The 16,554-nt window shown below is 42.3% G+C and overlaps 1 protein-coding gene across 19 annotated transcripts in view, besides 2 other annotated features; it reads right to left on the bottom strand.

Annotated features, from left to right (window-relative positions):
• ARHGEF3 (Rho guanine nucleotide exchange factor 3) overlaps positions 1-16,554 on the bottom strand; it is a 351,849-nt gene that overhangs the window by 56,033 nt on the left and 279,262 nt on the right. The gene's annotated exons all lie outside the window — the stretch shown is intronic.
• Positions 352-751: an enhancer, noted in NCBI's record as "active region_19982". NCBI's record gives its function as "activates an Ori minimal core promoter by ATAC-STARR-seq in GM12878 lymphoblastoid cells {active_cell/tissue: GM12878}" and the evidence as "EXISTENCE:reporter gene assay evidence [ECO:0000049][PMID:35858748]".
• Positions 16,083-16,132: an enhancer, noted in NCBI's record as "active region_19983". NCBI's record gives its function as "activates an Ori minimal core promoter by ATAC-STARR-seq in GM12878 lymphoblastoid cells {active_cell/tissue: GM12878}" and the evidence as "EXISTENCE:reporter gene assay evidence [ECO:0000049][PMID:35858748]".

The raw sequence follows: 16,554 nt of genomic DNA on the forward strand, positions 1-16,554 counted from the left end.
TTGTTTCTGAGAGAAGACTCAAGCAAGTCATTACCTTCATTCTTCTTGGTACCACTGAGTTTTTGCCCCCACATTGGAAAAGTAACCTCTCCTACTTGCCTGCCATGGGGAAATTCATTTTTGCTGAGTGAAGGTTTATGGGCTGAAAAAAAGAGCCTTGGGAAATAATTCAGTAAAATACAGGACTCTGAGAGGTGAAGCAGGCAGCAGCCTAGGTTACAAACATAATCTCTAAGCAGAGCCAGTAAAATAAAACAAAACCACTGTTTCAGACGCTGTATTTCTGGCTAAGGTTTCACTCTGCAATAACTTTCAAAGTTACTCGTTTTAGTCAACATTATAAGGGTAAGTCAACATTTGTCCTGGCAGCAAGCCCAAATCTGTTATTTTATTAGTCTGCTACTGGTTAAATTGGCCCAAGATTAAACACATCTAATAAACAGCCCTAAAACATTGAAGTTTAGCAGAAAACCACATTCAATTCTCTTTACACAGGATGTTACTATTACTTAACCTTGGGCAGAGGGAGAACTGCACACCCACACCCCTGTTAAGTTCCTTTTAGCAAACACCAGCCCCCACTGCCTGAAACTCATCTTGGTCATGCCCAGACATGATGCTACAGACCTTCAGAGAAAGAGGAAGCCAAATATTTAGCTCTCTCTGCGGTCCCTGGCTCCACATCTGCCTTCTGAGGCAGAAAGGGCCAGATGCTCAGAGCTGGAGAACTTTAAAGAGTTCAACCTCCTTAAAAATTAGGAGAGTTGCCAGCAGCATCAAGTCTCTGTGGCCCTTATGGGAAGGCCAGCCATGGGCCCGGAGGATGTTTTCTCACATCAGGTTATGCATTTTTGGCAAGAATGCCACAGAAATAACGTGCCTATAATGCCACACCCATCCGCCGGTCTGGAAAATGGGGCTGGACATCCCTGGTTGGATGATGCCAACAAGGCACCCAGAGGTAGAAAAGGTCTCCTGGTCACACAACGAGGCACCCAGAGGTAGAAAAGATCTCCTGGTCACAGCCACGGGGTCCAGAGGACAGTCTCTGTGACTTTGGGGTTCCGGAGTCAGTCATTTCCTACTGACTTCTTGGAAACCTTTGGGTGGAATATATGTTCTGCATTTGTTTATCACTGTAAAAGGGATTCCCTCGCTTCCCCTTGGGTGGGGTTGGAGAAGGAGGAAAAGGATGCCACTGGAGTTCCATTCCTGCTTCTTTAAGGACATTTTCTGGGCTCTCTCAGAGCTTAGGAATAATCTGAATGCCTCTGCAGCAAGTGACAAAGTTCTTATCACTCTGGCCCAAAGAGTGCATTGATTCTTTGCAAAGGATCTAAGGATAAAATATGAGCCAACCTGTCTGGTCAGAGTGCAATACCCTACGACCTTGGGCCCAAAATATAACCTCTATAAGCTAGTTTCCTCTACTGTGAAGTGAAGATGACTCTCCTACCTTCTCACAGAGTTGTTGGGAGGATCACAGGAGACTAGGTGTATAATATGCTTGGCAGACACCCGCCTGTTAGTCCTCAGTAAATATCAGAGTATTGTCCTTATTTCTGTTGTCCTGGGAGAGGCATGGTCTCTCTGCCAGCCTGCGCCCCTGCCCTCTTCTATTCCCTGCAGCACTGGATTTTGCCTTGATCCTTCCAGGGACAAAGCTAGAGTTCCACGTCACCTGCCAGAATCATACCAATAACTGCTCTGGCCACTGAGGCTGCTACGAGACCATGTATTTTGATGCCATATTCCTGCCTTCCTTTTCTTCCTGTGGTTTTATCATCTGTTTAGTCAAGCTCTGGCTGGATACGGCAAAACTAGCGGTGGTCTGGCAGGATTCAAGGCTATATTGGAAGAAAGGAAAGCAGTAAAATCTCAAGATAAGGACCCAAGTCCTAATCTTGGGTCCTTATAGATGGGTCTTGAGGTTTGCATTATCCTCCCACCCGCCCACTGCCACCAACACTGCTGAATTATGGGCTAGAAGAGCTGGTCTCCAGTCTTGCCAGATCCCAATACTGTCTGGAATTAGGCAATGAGAGGAACTCTGGTCATTCAACCCATGTCGGATGTGCAAGGTGAAACTTCACAAAAATAATGTGTAACCAAGAAAGGACCACACAGAACCACAGAAAAGTCCTCTCTCTTTCTCATCCATCTGTCGTTCTTTGAAGCTCAGCATTATCTTGCTTCCCAGAAGAGGAAAAAGAAGTAGGGAGATGAAAAAGGGTGCTCAGATCTTAATCTCAGTGTCCCAAAGGAAGGACAGACTGTTCCAGCTGAATCTGGGATGATCAAACACATCTCAGGCAAGCAAAGCTGACAGTCAGGTCTGTCATCCGACTGAAAACTAGACAGGGACCAGGGATCCTAACTGGTTGCTGGGTAAAAACTACAGGGACGTCTGACCAAGGGCACTGGGTCTGCAGAAGAAAATGGATCCCCTTCTCTTGATGTCTAGTTGGTTTCCGTTTTTGACAAGAACAACGGTTTTGAGCAGACAGGCCTTGCAGAGATGTGACCTCCAGAAAGAAACACAAAATATGTTCAAGATGCTCCCTGGTTAACTCCCAGCTGTCCCTTCTAGCACAAATTATCCCTTCAAATGTTTGGTCCATGTGTGTCCTCAGGAGCACATGTCCACACTTAGAACCAGGGGACACAGCACCCGGGTGTTTTAGAGCACTCTGCTCCCAGCCGAAAACAGAATACATTGAAATCTGATTATTCAGAATGGAAAAAGCTACTAGTCAAACAACCACATGGGATTGATTAAATTGGAAATAAATTTTTAAAAATCTTAAACTTTCCTGTTTTTGGCTTTCAGCTGACATCTTACCACTCACTGAGCAAGGGTATGCAGATAAATAAGATACAAAGCATGCTGTTCAGGAAACTGTGAGGTAAGTAATCTATAATGGATTCATCTGGCATTTCTGTTGCCCCCACACCCCCCAAATGAGCAGATGAATAGCTTCAAAATGTTATTCTTTGGGAGGGGTGTATGTGCATGTGTGCACAACACAAAACTGATTTCATTTGTTGAGACACTTTCCATCCTGTAGTGCATTTTTAATGACAAGAATTTAAAAATACCCAGTAACAACGGATTTTTCCAAAGGTTCATAACAAACACTGGCTCTCAGTGCTGTACATCTGCAACCTTGAAACATAGTGATTACGTGTTATTTTGAACTCTCAGCAATTAATATGCAACCAGATGTATCATTATCTACAGTTTATTAAAATGCAGAAGCCTGTGAATATAAAAAAATGATGCAGCACACAACAAAGAAGGCAAGGAGCTCAGAGACTCAGCTCTGCTCCCAGCATCACTCTCAGCTAGTTTCAATTCCAAAGAGATAATGGGGAAAATGGGTAGACAGTGGCAACTGACTTAAAATGAAAGAATAAATACAAACCTGTGATTTGGTTGTTGGGTTTTGTTAAAAAAAAAAAAAAAGTTGGCTAGCCATTGTAGAGTCAGTGGTAAGGGATGTCAATAAAAGTTTCCAGAAAAGACAAGGACATTCTGGTGGTAAAATAAAAATGGTATTTATTCCTGAGGCAAAGGATGCCTGCAGCAGAGAGCAGCAAGGTTCTCAAGTGTTTTCCAATATGGGCCATCTACAGAGGGGAGGATTCCTTTGAAGACTGCTGGGAGTCTAAATTGGCAAAATAATTTCCTTGGTAAAGGTTTCCCAAGCACTGCCAGGTTGGGAAGGGCACAAGGATGAAGTGGAAGGTTCTTCTTTTACATGCCAGGCCCTCCTTCCCTCTGCCCCAACATTTGAGAGTCAAGCGAGGGGCGCCCCTGAGTTTGCAAAGCAGGACTGTGCAGAGGGCCACTTGACCCTGCAAAGCTTCGATCAATTGCGATTAAATAAATTATACCCTGCCAAGGCACTTGCCTACTCATAGACTCTAGCAATTTTCTAGAAACAGAGCAGTCATCCTACTACACCTGACGCAGGTGTGACTCTTGTGACTCTGAAGCACTATATAAACAATGAGGGAAGCCTAGGAAAGGAAAGGAGGCACTGAGAGCCATGGAGTCACAAACGCTCTCATCTATGCCATACAGCAACCCCGTTATCCTGTTTCATAGAGGAGGAAGCAGGTGTTCAGAGAAGTGAGATGACTTCCTCCAAGTCATACCCAGTAATTAACTGGCAGTGGTGAAATCTGAATTCAAATCTACCTGCCTTGAAAACTTTCCCCGCCACCCCGACACTGGCTTCCCAGGATATACAACTTCCTCTGATAATAATAATAATAATATAATAGCAATATACAGGAGGACTTTGTGCTAGGCTGTGCCAAAGTGCTTTCTGTGCATTATTTCCTTGACTTCTCTTAAGTTAGTGCTATTAATATACCCATTTCACAGTGTAGGCAACTGAGACTCAGAGGCGTTAAGGGCCTCGCCTGAAGTCACACAGTCCAAATTGAGCCCAAGGCTATTAACTCAGCAAGGCCTGGGTTCTTAATTAACCACAGCATTGTTAGTTTCCTAAACCAGGGAGGAACCCTGAAACGAATAGGCTGTAGAGGCAGAAAGGAAGTAGACACTGACGCAGGGTGTGGAGGAGGACAGAATGTTCATTTGGCATTCAAGCCCTATCACTCTGGAATCAGCAGCTCCTCTTGACTCCTCCCTCAGAATCTTAGTGAGCCCAGGTTCAAAGGTGTCCCGCTTATGTGCCCCCAGAAGATGCTGCCCTCTGCTAAGGGCACACTTGAGGACTGGGGGGTGGCGGGCATCCAGCATCAGGGAGCCTATTGGATGACCACTTCTCAGTATTCCCCCTCCATAGTCTGCCAAGCTCCCCAATGAAATTGCCTGCTTCTCCCCCTCCTCGTGGTTGACAGTCACTACCCGTATTGTCGTGTTGTTAATGACTTGGTCAAACTGAAGTAGAAGTTCCTTGAGGACAGAAAGCATGGCTTTTCTAAACCAGGGGGAACATGATACACAGAGCCAGGTCTCAATAAATATTTATGGACAATTAAAGAGCATTAGGGGTCATTTTTTAGTTGTCTAGCTCTTTACCAGCTCATATCCATCACACTATGGAGTTTCCCTACATTTCCAACAAAGGATCTATTTATAGTTAAAGCACCCTGCAAATGAATAGGGCATGAAGAGCTCAAAGCAACCTAATCCACCCTCATCTGCTTGCCTTGGGTCTGTGTCCGTGGTTGGCACTTGGCTAGGATTCTCAGATGATGCATGTCAGGTGGGAGCCGGCCTCAGGACAACTTGCTCCCTACTCCTCTGGCCAGGGTGCCTCTCTACCCAGAGCTCACACACCAACCCCTGTCTGAAAGTCATTCTGGGAACAACCAGAAAGCCACACTAGATTTTTTTGTTATTCTACCTGGCAGAAATGAATGTGAAGCTTGCCAGTATGCTTGGAACATCTTTTGTTTTAAAAATAATAATGCCCAATGCTAACTCTGATCTCTTTATTTCCTACAAAGGAAGGAGCTACCTCCTAGCAGATGCCTTGCTAAGTATAACCACCTATAGCTTCTACTCAACTGATCTACGTTCAAGATAGATGCTGCTGCTGCTGCTGCTGCTGCTGCTGCTGCTGCTGCTGCTGCTGCTAATGACCTATTAAGTACTTGTTTGGTGGAAGCCCTTTATATGCCTATTTCATCTTCACAATTCCCTTGCAAATTCCCAATTTTCAGATGAGGAAACTAGGGCTTAGAGGATGAGACACAAGTCCAAGATCTCTCAGCTCACAGGTGGCCAAGTGCGGATTCAAACTCAGTTCAGGCTGACTTCCAAATCCAAATTCTTAACCAGTACATTCTAGGGCTGACTCCAATTAAAGTGTAATCTCACCCAATCCTTCCCACCAGAGTGAAGGAAAAAAGGAACAGGATGGTTTGAATCATTTTAGCTGGCACTTTGGCATGTTCTTTGACGCTTTGAAAAGAAAAAGATTTATGTTCTGAGAACAGAAATCTACTTTTATTTTTTAAGTTGGCTAACGTAGCACAGATTCATTTCCTATAACACATTAAAGCCAATTTTTATCTACTTAGTATCTGAAATTTGGGTCCTATGCTAAATGTCCAAATTTCAAGTTTAGTTTGCAAGTGACTGTGTCAAACTTGGGAACTTATTGTAGAATTCTAATCCTAGAAAGCCCCTCAGAACATGCCTTGTTCACTGTTTCCAAACTCTCTGTATTGCCATGATAATTTTTTGCCATATGTACATATCACCTGAGCTATTATGTACTATTTCCTTAATTAGTCATTTTTTACTTAAAAACTTATTGTAAAAATAAACTCTATCACTGCCTTAAATGGAAAATCACTATCACCTGCCATAAACAGAAACTAACTTTAAAAAATGAACCCTGAGGCCTACACTTAGTTACACAGGGAAATTATCAAGTGATGGGGAGGTGTTAAAGACACACTAATTCCAAGTGGAAACTTGAAATAATCAGAAGGATCAGATAATTTAAAAGGGAAAGTGATTAAATTATTTTGTGATTTGTCTTTATAAGATTTGAGCTGCCCAAGTGGTATGAAACCCACCTTCTGGGAAACAATGAACTAATCCAGTCCTCTCATTCCAGAAACAGACTCTGAAATTCCAAGAAGCTAAGCCTACCTTTGCCCTGTCCCCAGCTACTTGGGAAGCTCTTATAAGAACCAGCTTAGAAATAAATGCTGCATTTAAGAGACTTCCGAAGCAAGCTCCTGTTCCTCGATGTTGGTGCCAGAATCAAGCTCACTCTTCTAGGCCTTTGGAACCTGGGCATAAAGCATTCAGAGACTAATAAGAGAATGCAACATGTCTTTTCTGATGCTCTCTCCTTCAAAGCTCTCAGATAAGTCACCACCAAACATCTGAGGAGGAAGGAGGTGGAGGTGACAGTTCATCATGCATCTGTGGCTTACACACAAGAAACCATCAGTTTTCCCTCTTCTAACAGCTTATTTCCTTCTTTACAGTGGTTTCTGACTCCTTCTGCAAGATCACACCCAGACATCCCCAACACAATCACCAGGATGGCTGAGAAAATGAACCAAGACTGCCAAAACCTAACATGATATTGATGAGCCACTTCCACCCCTCCCCAACCTGTGTGAAGTCAAAAATTAAAAATAGTCTTCCCCAGTGACCTTTAGTTATCTTCTCTGTATTTGCCTGGGGTCGTTCTTGAAATGCCTGCGTGACTTGCGATTATGAAATGTTAGTATGCCAACATAAGATAGCACACTTGAAATGGGAGCTTGCCCTGGCCTTGGGTTCAGAAAGCACCCACAGGGAAGACTTACCATTTTGCCCCCCTCGGCCATCTGGCCCAACTCCATCTCTTTCTGCCACTAGCTTGTTCCCTTTTTCTTTCTGTAGCGTCTTCCTCTAGGAAGACTCCACATTTCCAAATCTGACAGCCCATGGCAAGTCCAAAACATTCACCTTTCTTTTTTCCTTTTCACATTTTTTTTTCAAGGTTCTGACATAGGCTGTCAGCTTTATTTAATTCAATCAGGTTGCCAACTTCTAATGCTAATGGTATCTACAGAAAGAGTGCCCTCAGGAAATGCTGTATTTCTTCTTACTATTTATCACCTCTGCTGCAAACATTAGGTCTGCAGAGTTCAGAAAGACATCATTTTAAGATATGTCGTGGCCAGAAGTGGTGGCTTATGCCTGTAATCCCAGCACCTTGGGAGGCCGAGGTGGGAGGATTACTTGAACCCCGGAGTTCGAGACCAGTCTGGGCAACATAATGAGACCCTGACTCTAGAAAAATAAAACAATTGAAAGAAAATTAGCCAGGCATGGTGGCACACGCCTGTAGTCCTAGCTGTAGTCCTAGGACTACAGCTGTAGCTACTCTGGAGGCTGAGGTGGGTGGGAGGATCGCTTGAACCTGAGAGGTTAAGGCTGCAGTGAGCCATGATTGTGCCACTGCACTCCAGCCTAGGCAACAGAACAAGACCCTATTTCTAACACAAACCAACAAACGAAATACATCACCTATGTATACAGAAGTTTTTATCTATCCATTCCTTGTGGGCTTTTCGTTTTAACAGTGATCTCACATCAAATTTAAAGTAGGGCCTTGCAGTTGGAGATTACTCTGCACAGTGTTCTGGCTAACTTTAACGGGGTTCACTTAGAACACCCCCAGAGAGACAGTGCTGCTTATCACCTACCCAGAACCATGACTGGCTTAAGCCAACATTGTGGCACGCCAAGAGGTCAAGGCTGGGCAAGGAGGGACCAACATTTGGGCCCTGCCTCCTAATTTCTCTGAATCTCTTTTTCCTCAGTTGACAAACAAAAAGGACAGCTTCAGAAAAAAAGAAAAATGAAGAAAAAATGAAAAACTAAAAAAAGAAAACCTAAAAACAAACAAAATAGCAAAATTAAAAAAAAAAAAGGACAGTCCTTGCCTTGTCCAGCTCCCTCAGCTAATGCAAGGCTCAAAGGAGATAATGCATGTGAAAATAAGTGACTGCTGGCTGGGTGCGGTGGCTCACGCCTGTAATCCCAGCTACTTGGGAGGCTGAGGCAGGAGAATCGCTTGAACCCAGGAGGCAGAGGTTGCAGTGAGCCAAGATCTTGCTGCTGCACTCCAGACTGGACAAGAGTGAGACTCTGTCTCAAAAAAAAAAAAAAGAAAAGAAAAGAAAAGAAAAGAAAAGAAAATAACTGACTACTATCTGAACAAAGGGTGGCATTGCTCTAGATTTATTGAGCACAATGAAAAAGGAGGAAGGTGTCTTGATTGCAACATGCCTGTCCCCTCTTCTCTACATCCCATATGCACACATATAGGTTTAAATTGGTTATAATGAGTATATAATCATGCTCAACTTTTTTTCCTCTTTATTTGTTCCAGGAACACTAGGGTATTTCTGTTTGCTAGTGAGTAATGGCTGCAAATGATGTCACTGACCCCTGTGCCAGAGGCCATGGTCATGGAGCTATTGCTCTATTGTAGGACAGAGAGGTTGTTGGCTTTTCTGGCCAGTTAAATAGGAAAGGATGCTAGACTGGAACCAAACCATCAGACTTCAAGCTCCAGCTAGGCCATTCCCAGCTGTGTGATCTTGGGCAAATCATTGGACCTCTCTGACCCTTGGTATCTCGTCTTTAAAATGAGGACAATTATATACTCAAGTAAGTCAAAGAATATGAAAGTGCCTAAAACTGTAAAATGCACGAATACAAAGCATGGCTATTATTGCAAATAATGTCATTATGAACAACTTTGGAAACACAGCCTTTTCTCCACTAGAGCTAGAATACTACGCCCAAAGATCTGAACAATTTTTGTCTTTTAGTATGCACAGAAAGTGTGTTATTTTCTTTTTCTTATTTTTTTTTTTTAAATAGAGACAAGGTCTTGCTATGTTGCGCAGGCTGGTCCCAAACTCCTGGGCTCAAGCAATCTGCCTGCCTCAGCCTCCCAAAGTGCTATGATTACAGGCATGAGACACTGTGCCCCACCAATAAGTGTATTATTTTCCTGCAACATTCACGGCATTGGGTTTTTTTTTTTTTTTATTTTTATTTTTTTGAGACAGAGTTGCACTCTGTTGCCCAGGCGGCAGTGCAGTAGTGCGATCTCAGCTCACTGCTACCTCCGCCTCCCGAGTTCAAGCAATTCTCCTGCCTCAGTCTCCCAAGTAGCTGGGATTACAGGCTCCCGCCACCAGGCCCAGATAATTTTTTTTTTTTTTTTTGAGATGGAGTCTTGCTCTGTCGCCCAGGCTGGAGTGCAGTGGCGCAATCTCGGCTCACTGCAAGCTCCGCCTCCCGGGTTCACGCCATTCTCCTGCCTCAGCCTCCCGAGTAGCTGGGGCTACAGGTGCCCGCCACCGCGCCCGGCTAATTTTTTGTATTTTTAGTAGAAACGGGGTTTCACCGCGTTAGCCAGGATGGTCTCGATCTCCTGACCTCATGATCCGCTCGCCTCGGCTGCCCAAAGTGCTGGGATTACAGGCGTGAGCCACCGTGCCCAGCAATTTTTGTATTTTTAGTAGAGACTGGGTTTTACCATGTTGGCCAGGCTGGTCTTGAACTCCTAAGCTCAGGTGATCCGCCCGCCTCGGCTTCCCAAAGTGCTGGGATTACAGGTGTGAGTCACCATGCCCAGCTTGGTTTTATTATGTCTTAAAAATAGTTGCAACATCAGTTAGGTATAAAATAGCACCTTATTATTGCCTTTTTCATTTCTATAATTCCTACTAGAGTGAACATTTTAAATCTTTACTGTTCCTTGTGTATGAACTACCTTCTAGTATCTTTGGCTTATTTGTCAATGAATATCTTAGGGTATTTTTTAAATATCTGTATAAATTATTTATATGACAAAGATGTTAATCTTTAGTCTGTCATTTTTATTTCAAAAATCTTTTTCAATATATTAGTGTACTTCTCTTGTCTAAAGAAGCATATTAAGCCTAAAAGAAATCCTGTTTGTTGACATAGTATCATACAGTATCCTTGCACTTATTAATACTCAAGTTTTTCAGGCACACTAAAGATGTCCAGAAGAAATAAGCAAGGACAGGAAAGAGATAGGACAGTATGTCACATTTGGAAAAGTTAAGGGAACCAGGAATACCAGGCCAGGAGAAGGAAAACATCTGAGGGGAGAGAGGGAGAGGAGAGAATGCACATGAGTGTGGAGTGGGAGAGGTGCAGAGAGAGAGTGGTTTTCAAATACTTACAGGGATAACACATAAGAAAGTATTACTGGGCCAGGCATGGTGGCTCACGCCTGTAATCCTATCACTTTGGGAGGCCGAGGGGGGTGGATTATCTCAGGTCAGGAGTTCGAGACCAGCCTGGCCAACATGGTGAAACCCTGTTTCTACTAAAAATACAAAAATTAGCAGGGCGTGGTGGCGTGTGCCTGTAATCCCAGCTACTCGGGAGGCTCAGACAGGAGAACAGCTTGAACCCGGGAGGCAGAGGTTGCAATAAGCTGAGATCGCACCACTGCACTGTAGCCTGGGCAATAAGAGCGAGACTCTATCTCAAAAAAAAAAAAAAAAAAAAAAAAGAAAGTATTACTGAACATTGCTGCAGGAAGCAATGTTACAACTAAGAAAGGATTTTCTCATCATCTATACTGAACACAGACGGAGTACAGTCATCCTTCAGTATCCAAGGGTGATTGGTTCCAGAACCCTCTCAGATACCAAAATCTAAGGATGCTCAAGTCCATGATATAAAATGGCATACTGTTTGCCTATATCCTACACACATCCTCTTACACTTTAAATCATTTGTAGATTACTTAGAATATCCAATACAATGTAAGTGATAATCGTTGTTATCCTGTATTGTTTTTTATTTGTATTATTTAAATTGTTGTATTGTTATTTTTTATTGTTTTATTCCCTGATATTTTCTTTTTTTTTCTGAGACAGGGTCTCCCTATTTCACCCAGGCTAGGGTTGCAGTGGCACAATCTCAGCTCATTGCAGCCTCAAACTCCCTGGCTCCAGCAATTCTCCCACCTCAGCCTCCCAAGTAACTGGGACTACAGGTGTGTGTTACCACGCTTGGTGAATTCTTTGATTTTTTTTTTTTTTAGAGATGGGGTCTCGCTGTGTTGCCCAGAATGGTCTCAAACTCTTGGGCTCAAGCAATCCTGCTGCCTCTGCTTCCCAAAGTCCTGGGATCCAAATATTTTTGACCAATGGTTGGTTGAATCCGTGGATGTGGAACGAGTGGATACAGAGGGCCAACTGTATACAACCTGAAATGTTGTCCCTGGAGGTGTTAAGCAGAGATTGAATGGATCTGGCAGCAGATAAGAATTGGGCTACATGTTCTCAACAGGCCTTTCCCACTCTGAAGTTCTCTGATGCAATGACCCTGGGTCATTTCCTGGAGGCTGGATTTGTTTGCTTCATAAATCCTCAGAAAAAAAGAGCCTGTTTTGCTACTCCTTTCCTCCTCATCTTAAGAGCCAGAAAGAAGAAAAAAGTCTAGTGAACTTACCGTTAAGGTTTCTCATTCAGCTTCAATTAACTGAAATTTACTAACAATCAGGGCTACCTTCTCTCAAAAGGACACAATGGTCCAAACAGAAAGTCCGGGCACAAGTGTTTCTAGACTTAAAAAGAGCCACTCCTTTCCCAGCCAGTAGAAGGTTTGGAAACCTTTCCTGATTAACTTGTGACACAGTCTCTCTCTCTTTTTTTTTTTTGAAGATGGACTCTTGCTCTGTTGCTCAGACTGGAGTGGCGCTCGGCTCACTGCAATCTCTGCCTCCCAGGTTCAAGTGATTCTCCTGCCTCACCCTCCTGAGTAGCTTGGATTACAGGTGTGTGCCACCACGCCTGGCTAATTTTTGAATTTTTAGTAGAGATGGGGTTTCACCGTTGGTCAGGCTGGTCTTGAACCCCTGACCTCGTGATCCGACCACCTCAGCCTCCAAGTGCTAGGACTACAGGCGTGAGCCACCACACTGGGCATGACACAGCCTCTTCTAAACTAGTTATTGGTGTCAACTAATTAAAAAAAAAAAAAGGAAGGCAATAGAAACCACTGGCTTTCACTCCTGACAGTCCATGAGCCAACATAAGAATAAATGGCAACGCAGTCACGGCAATTTCCTCATTTTGTGTGACCTCTACCCATTATCAAGGCTGACAAATTATGGAAGGCAACTGCACACATACATGACAAAGTAGCCCTTCCAGATACACACATCATCAATAACAATTACATTTACACAGGGCTTTGCAAAATTAGGTTGTGATCAGTAATTTATTTTCTTTCAGTAGTTATGAAAACGGTGGCATCTGTCCAGGATTTTTACGGGCAATCACAGGGTGTCTCGAGAAAATGACACAATTTGCAAATATCCAGATGGTATTTGGGCCTTCCAGTGATTGGTTTACACAGAAGGCTTGTGGTTAATATAGATAAGCAAAATGACTAACAGAACTGACGGTGGCACCTCCACACAGCTAAGCATGCAGAATTCTGCCAAAGACCAGCTCCTTGGTCTTGAGAAACACAAAATGAAAATTACTAAAACCCTCCCAAATGGGGGCTTGCAAATCCCACTCCCGTGGGTTGCAGCCGTTCTATGAAGTGGGCTGCCAGAAGTATTGACTAATGGTGGGGTTTCCTACCCAGACACTCAGGAAAAAAATGGGCCTTTGAGCATCAGGCAATTTTTTGGGCAGGTGGGTTCATCCTTCACGTGTTATGAGGTGAGAAGACCAATGATTTAGTCACTTAGAGGCAATGTGATGTGGTTGGAAAAGTACAGACTTCAGGGTCAACTGGGATTTTAGTCTCATCTCCTTGACCCAGCATTAAAGCCATCCTGGGAAAGCCACTACCCTGTTCTGAGCCTGTTTCTTCTTCTACAAAACAGGGCATTAATACCAACCTCATAGGATTACTGTGATGATGAAAGGACTTACGGTAAAGCCCCTAATGCACTGCTGTGTGTAAAACAACATTCAGGAAATTAGGCTGGTGATCATCATGTTTCTTAAAACCATTTTAAGAATCTTTTTTTTTGAAATGTAAAGGTCTTAATAATAATGACATTTTTTGAGCACTTACGACATGCTAGGCACTATGGTTAGCGCTGTATATGAAACATCTCGTTTGACCCTCACTATGGTCCTAGGAGTTAGAGCTCTCATCATCTCCATTTTACCATTGAGGAAACAGGTTTGGAGAGGCACAGTAGCTTGTCCAAGGTCACATCAACTAGCAGGTGGTGGAGACAGCATTGAGACTCAGGCAGTCTTATTCTAGTCAATGCCCTTGAACAGCATTAAATGTACACATGTAAAGTCAACATATTTTCCTCTTCTGTTGCTAGTTCATGTGCATTCTTAAGGACCAAGATTCCCAAAATAATTTTCCAACTGAACAGCCTCGGAATGATGGCTCAATGACCATAACCAGATCCTATAGCAAGTGATGGCCTTTTTCTGGGTAGCTCCGTGTGGCTTCCCATCCAGCAAGATCTCTGAGGTCATATGATTCCTGGAGTCTATTTAATCATCTGAAGAAATTACAGGATTCTAACTGCAATAACTCCTTATGACTAGTTTCATGTGTGTTCAGGTATACTATCTGTTCAATACAATAAGATACAGATTCCAAGAAATGTATAGATTACTAGAAACCAGTAACCCTCTGGCTTTTCAGCTGGCATTCAAGAAGTACAGCCCGAGGTGCATACAATTTTAAAATGCACATGTTGACTGATAGAGGCATAAATCGTGGCAGGAGCATAGGGTTCACCTTGCCCTTTAGAAGTGGGCCTTAAAGGATACCTTCTCAGTTATGTAAGGTGCTCAAGGTTATACTTAAAAGATAATATTTTAAAGTATTTTGCATGTCTGTTAAGTTTTGTACTACCACCCCACCTTTTATCCCACAAAGGTAAACACCCTTAGGTGCTACAAGGGATGCTGATATTAAATGCTGGACGGAATCCATCAGGAAATTTGACATTGGATCTTGGCTTAGCTGCTGATTTTCTTTGCAGCTTTCTGCAAATCGCTTCCCCTCAGTGTCCTTATTCATAAAGTGGAGAGAACAGTACAAGCTTTATGTTAACCTTATTACAAGTGTGGGGTCTCAAGTGAGACACTAGACATGGTAGACATAGAAAAGGAGCAGAGCTCTGTCATTTCTAGGTGCATGTCATTATTCTCAGGGTCATGCAAGGCTACTGGCTAAGTCAAAATAAGAACCTATACTTTGGAGACCCAGGGCAGTATTCAGCTATTCATGAGATAGGCCTATGGTCTATGGCACTACAAATTTTTAAAACTGCTGAGAGTCAAAAGCAATGGCTACAAATACCATTAACTAAATCAGGCCTAATCTGACCAATATCTAAGATGGTAAATTTTAAAACTGAAAGTAAGTTGTCCACCAAGTTGTCAGATATATTCTTACAAAAATAACAGAAACACCTCTTTGTATTTTGATTAAAAATGAACTGGACCTAAAACTCTTAAAAGCTTCTCACAAGGCTCTAGCTTCCTTAGCCAATGTGTGCACCTTACCTGAGCTTGCTTCCTTTTCTTTACTTCGTTTTTTTTTTTTTTTTTTTTTAAGCCTTCTTTTTAAAAAGCAAACCTCACTACGGGGAAATATTGATTTTTAACTTACAATCAGGATAATTCATTAGAGGTAACACATTTTCTTTTAGTGATTTGATCAGGTGTTTAGCGCAGCTATGTAGACCAGTCCCTTTTGGCATGGGAAGTAGATGACCAATAAATACAAAAACAGATAAACTGAACAAAGCTGCATCAAAGATCAGAAGAAATAAACTTAATGCTCGTATCATATCACATTTTTCTGTGAAATTCTAGAGCCATGAACTAAGCTCCTTAGATTTCACAATTAATGATTACAGCCAGCAGGACCTCACTGATTATGGATATTAAAATTAAACATTTGCCAACCAATTCAAACCCCCATGTCATAAGAAATAGCAGATTAAGAGGCAGTATTATACTAACAGACATGCAATATTATAATCCCTGTAGAATATTTTCAAAAGCTTAAAATAGATCTTTTAAAGAAAATAAAAATACATTTTAAAAATATCATTTTTTGCTTTCACTGGAAACTACCACAAATAAAAAATTACAAATCACTTAAATCTTGAGTAGAAATTTTATTTGCTTTTAAGAGAATGCTTATTTTTGCATATTTTTTTACTCAGTGTACGGTATCAAATGCACATCAATGCCACTTGCCTGTTCCCCAGGAGCCTTTTCCTAAGTGATTTTCCCCAGTACACTTGCTGCAAGGATAGGAGTCAATGCTAGAAGGCACTTCCCAGTGCCATGCTGTGTGCACTGTCCTACCCAAGGCAAATTCGGAAGGAACAGCCATTACACACGGCCATTAAATGTTTAAAGGGCACAGGTGCTCTGTTGCAACGGCCTTTGAAGGTCAACAAGTCCTGTTTTCCTAGAAAGGCCTCTGGATAGATCTATTTTTCTTTTTATTATAACCACATTCTTTCCACAAAGAAAACAATCACTCTTAAAAAAATACTTTCAGAGGAATTAACAGTCAATGCCTAGCTTATAAACAATTATATAATCATGTTTTTCAAAAGGCTGACAAGCGAATGCTATTTTTTAATTTATGAATACTGACGACACCTACTGGTGGAAAATATATTTTAGTTAACTGCTTATGGAGAAGCTAGGCCTACAAGGGTTGGCTGCCTTTTGCGCTGATAAGGAAACCAGAAAACTACCCACTAAACTCACTTAGGTTTCTTTTTCCAATTTTGCCAATTTCCATTATCAGGAAGTGATATGCTCATCGATGAAGCTAAAAGATATCTCTGCCTCAAAGTGTATAAAGCATACTTGATTTAGTGTTTAAATCAAACACTAAAAAACAAAAACCCCAATAGTGATATCTGAAAAATATTTACCAACTATTTCCAAAACTATTCCAACCCCTTCCTTATTTCTCACATCAGGATATCCCCATACGAGGAAAATAAGTCATATTTTATAGTCTAGATCCAGCTA

Source organism: Homo sapiens, chromosome 3, assembly GCF_000001405.40.
Source record: "Homo sapiens chromosome 3, GRCh38.p14 Primary Assembly".
NCBI classification, from domain to species: domain Eukaryota; kingdom Metazoa; phylum Chordata; class Mammalia; order Primates; family Hominidae; genus Homo; species Homo sapiens.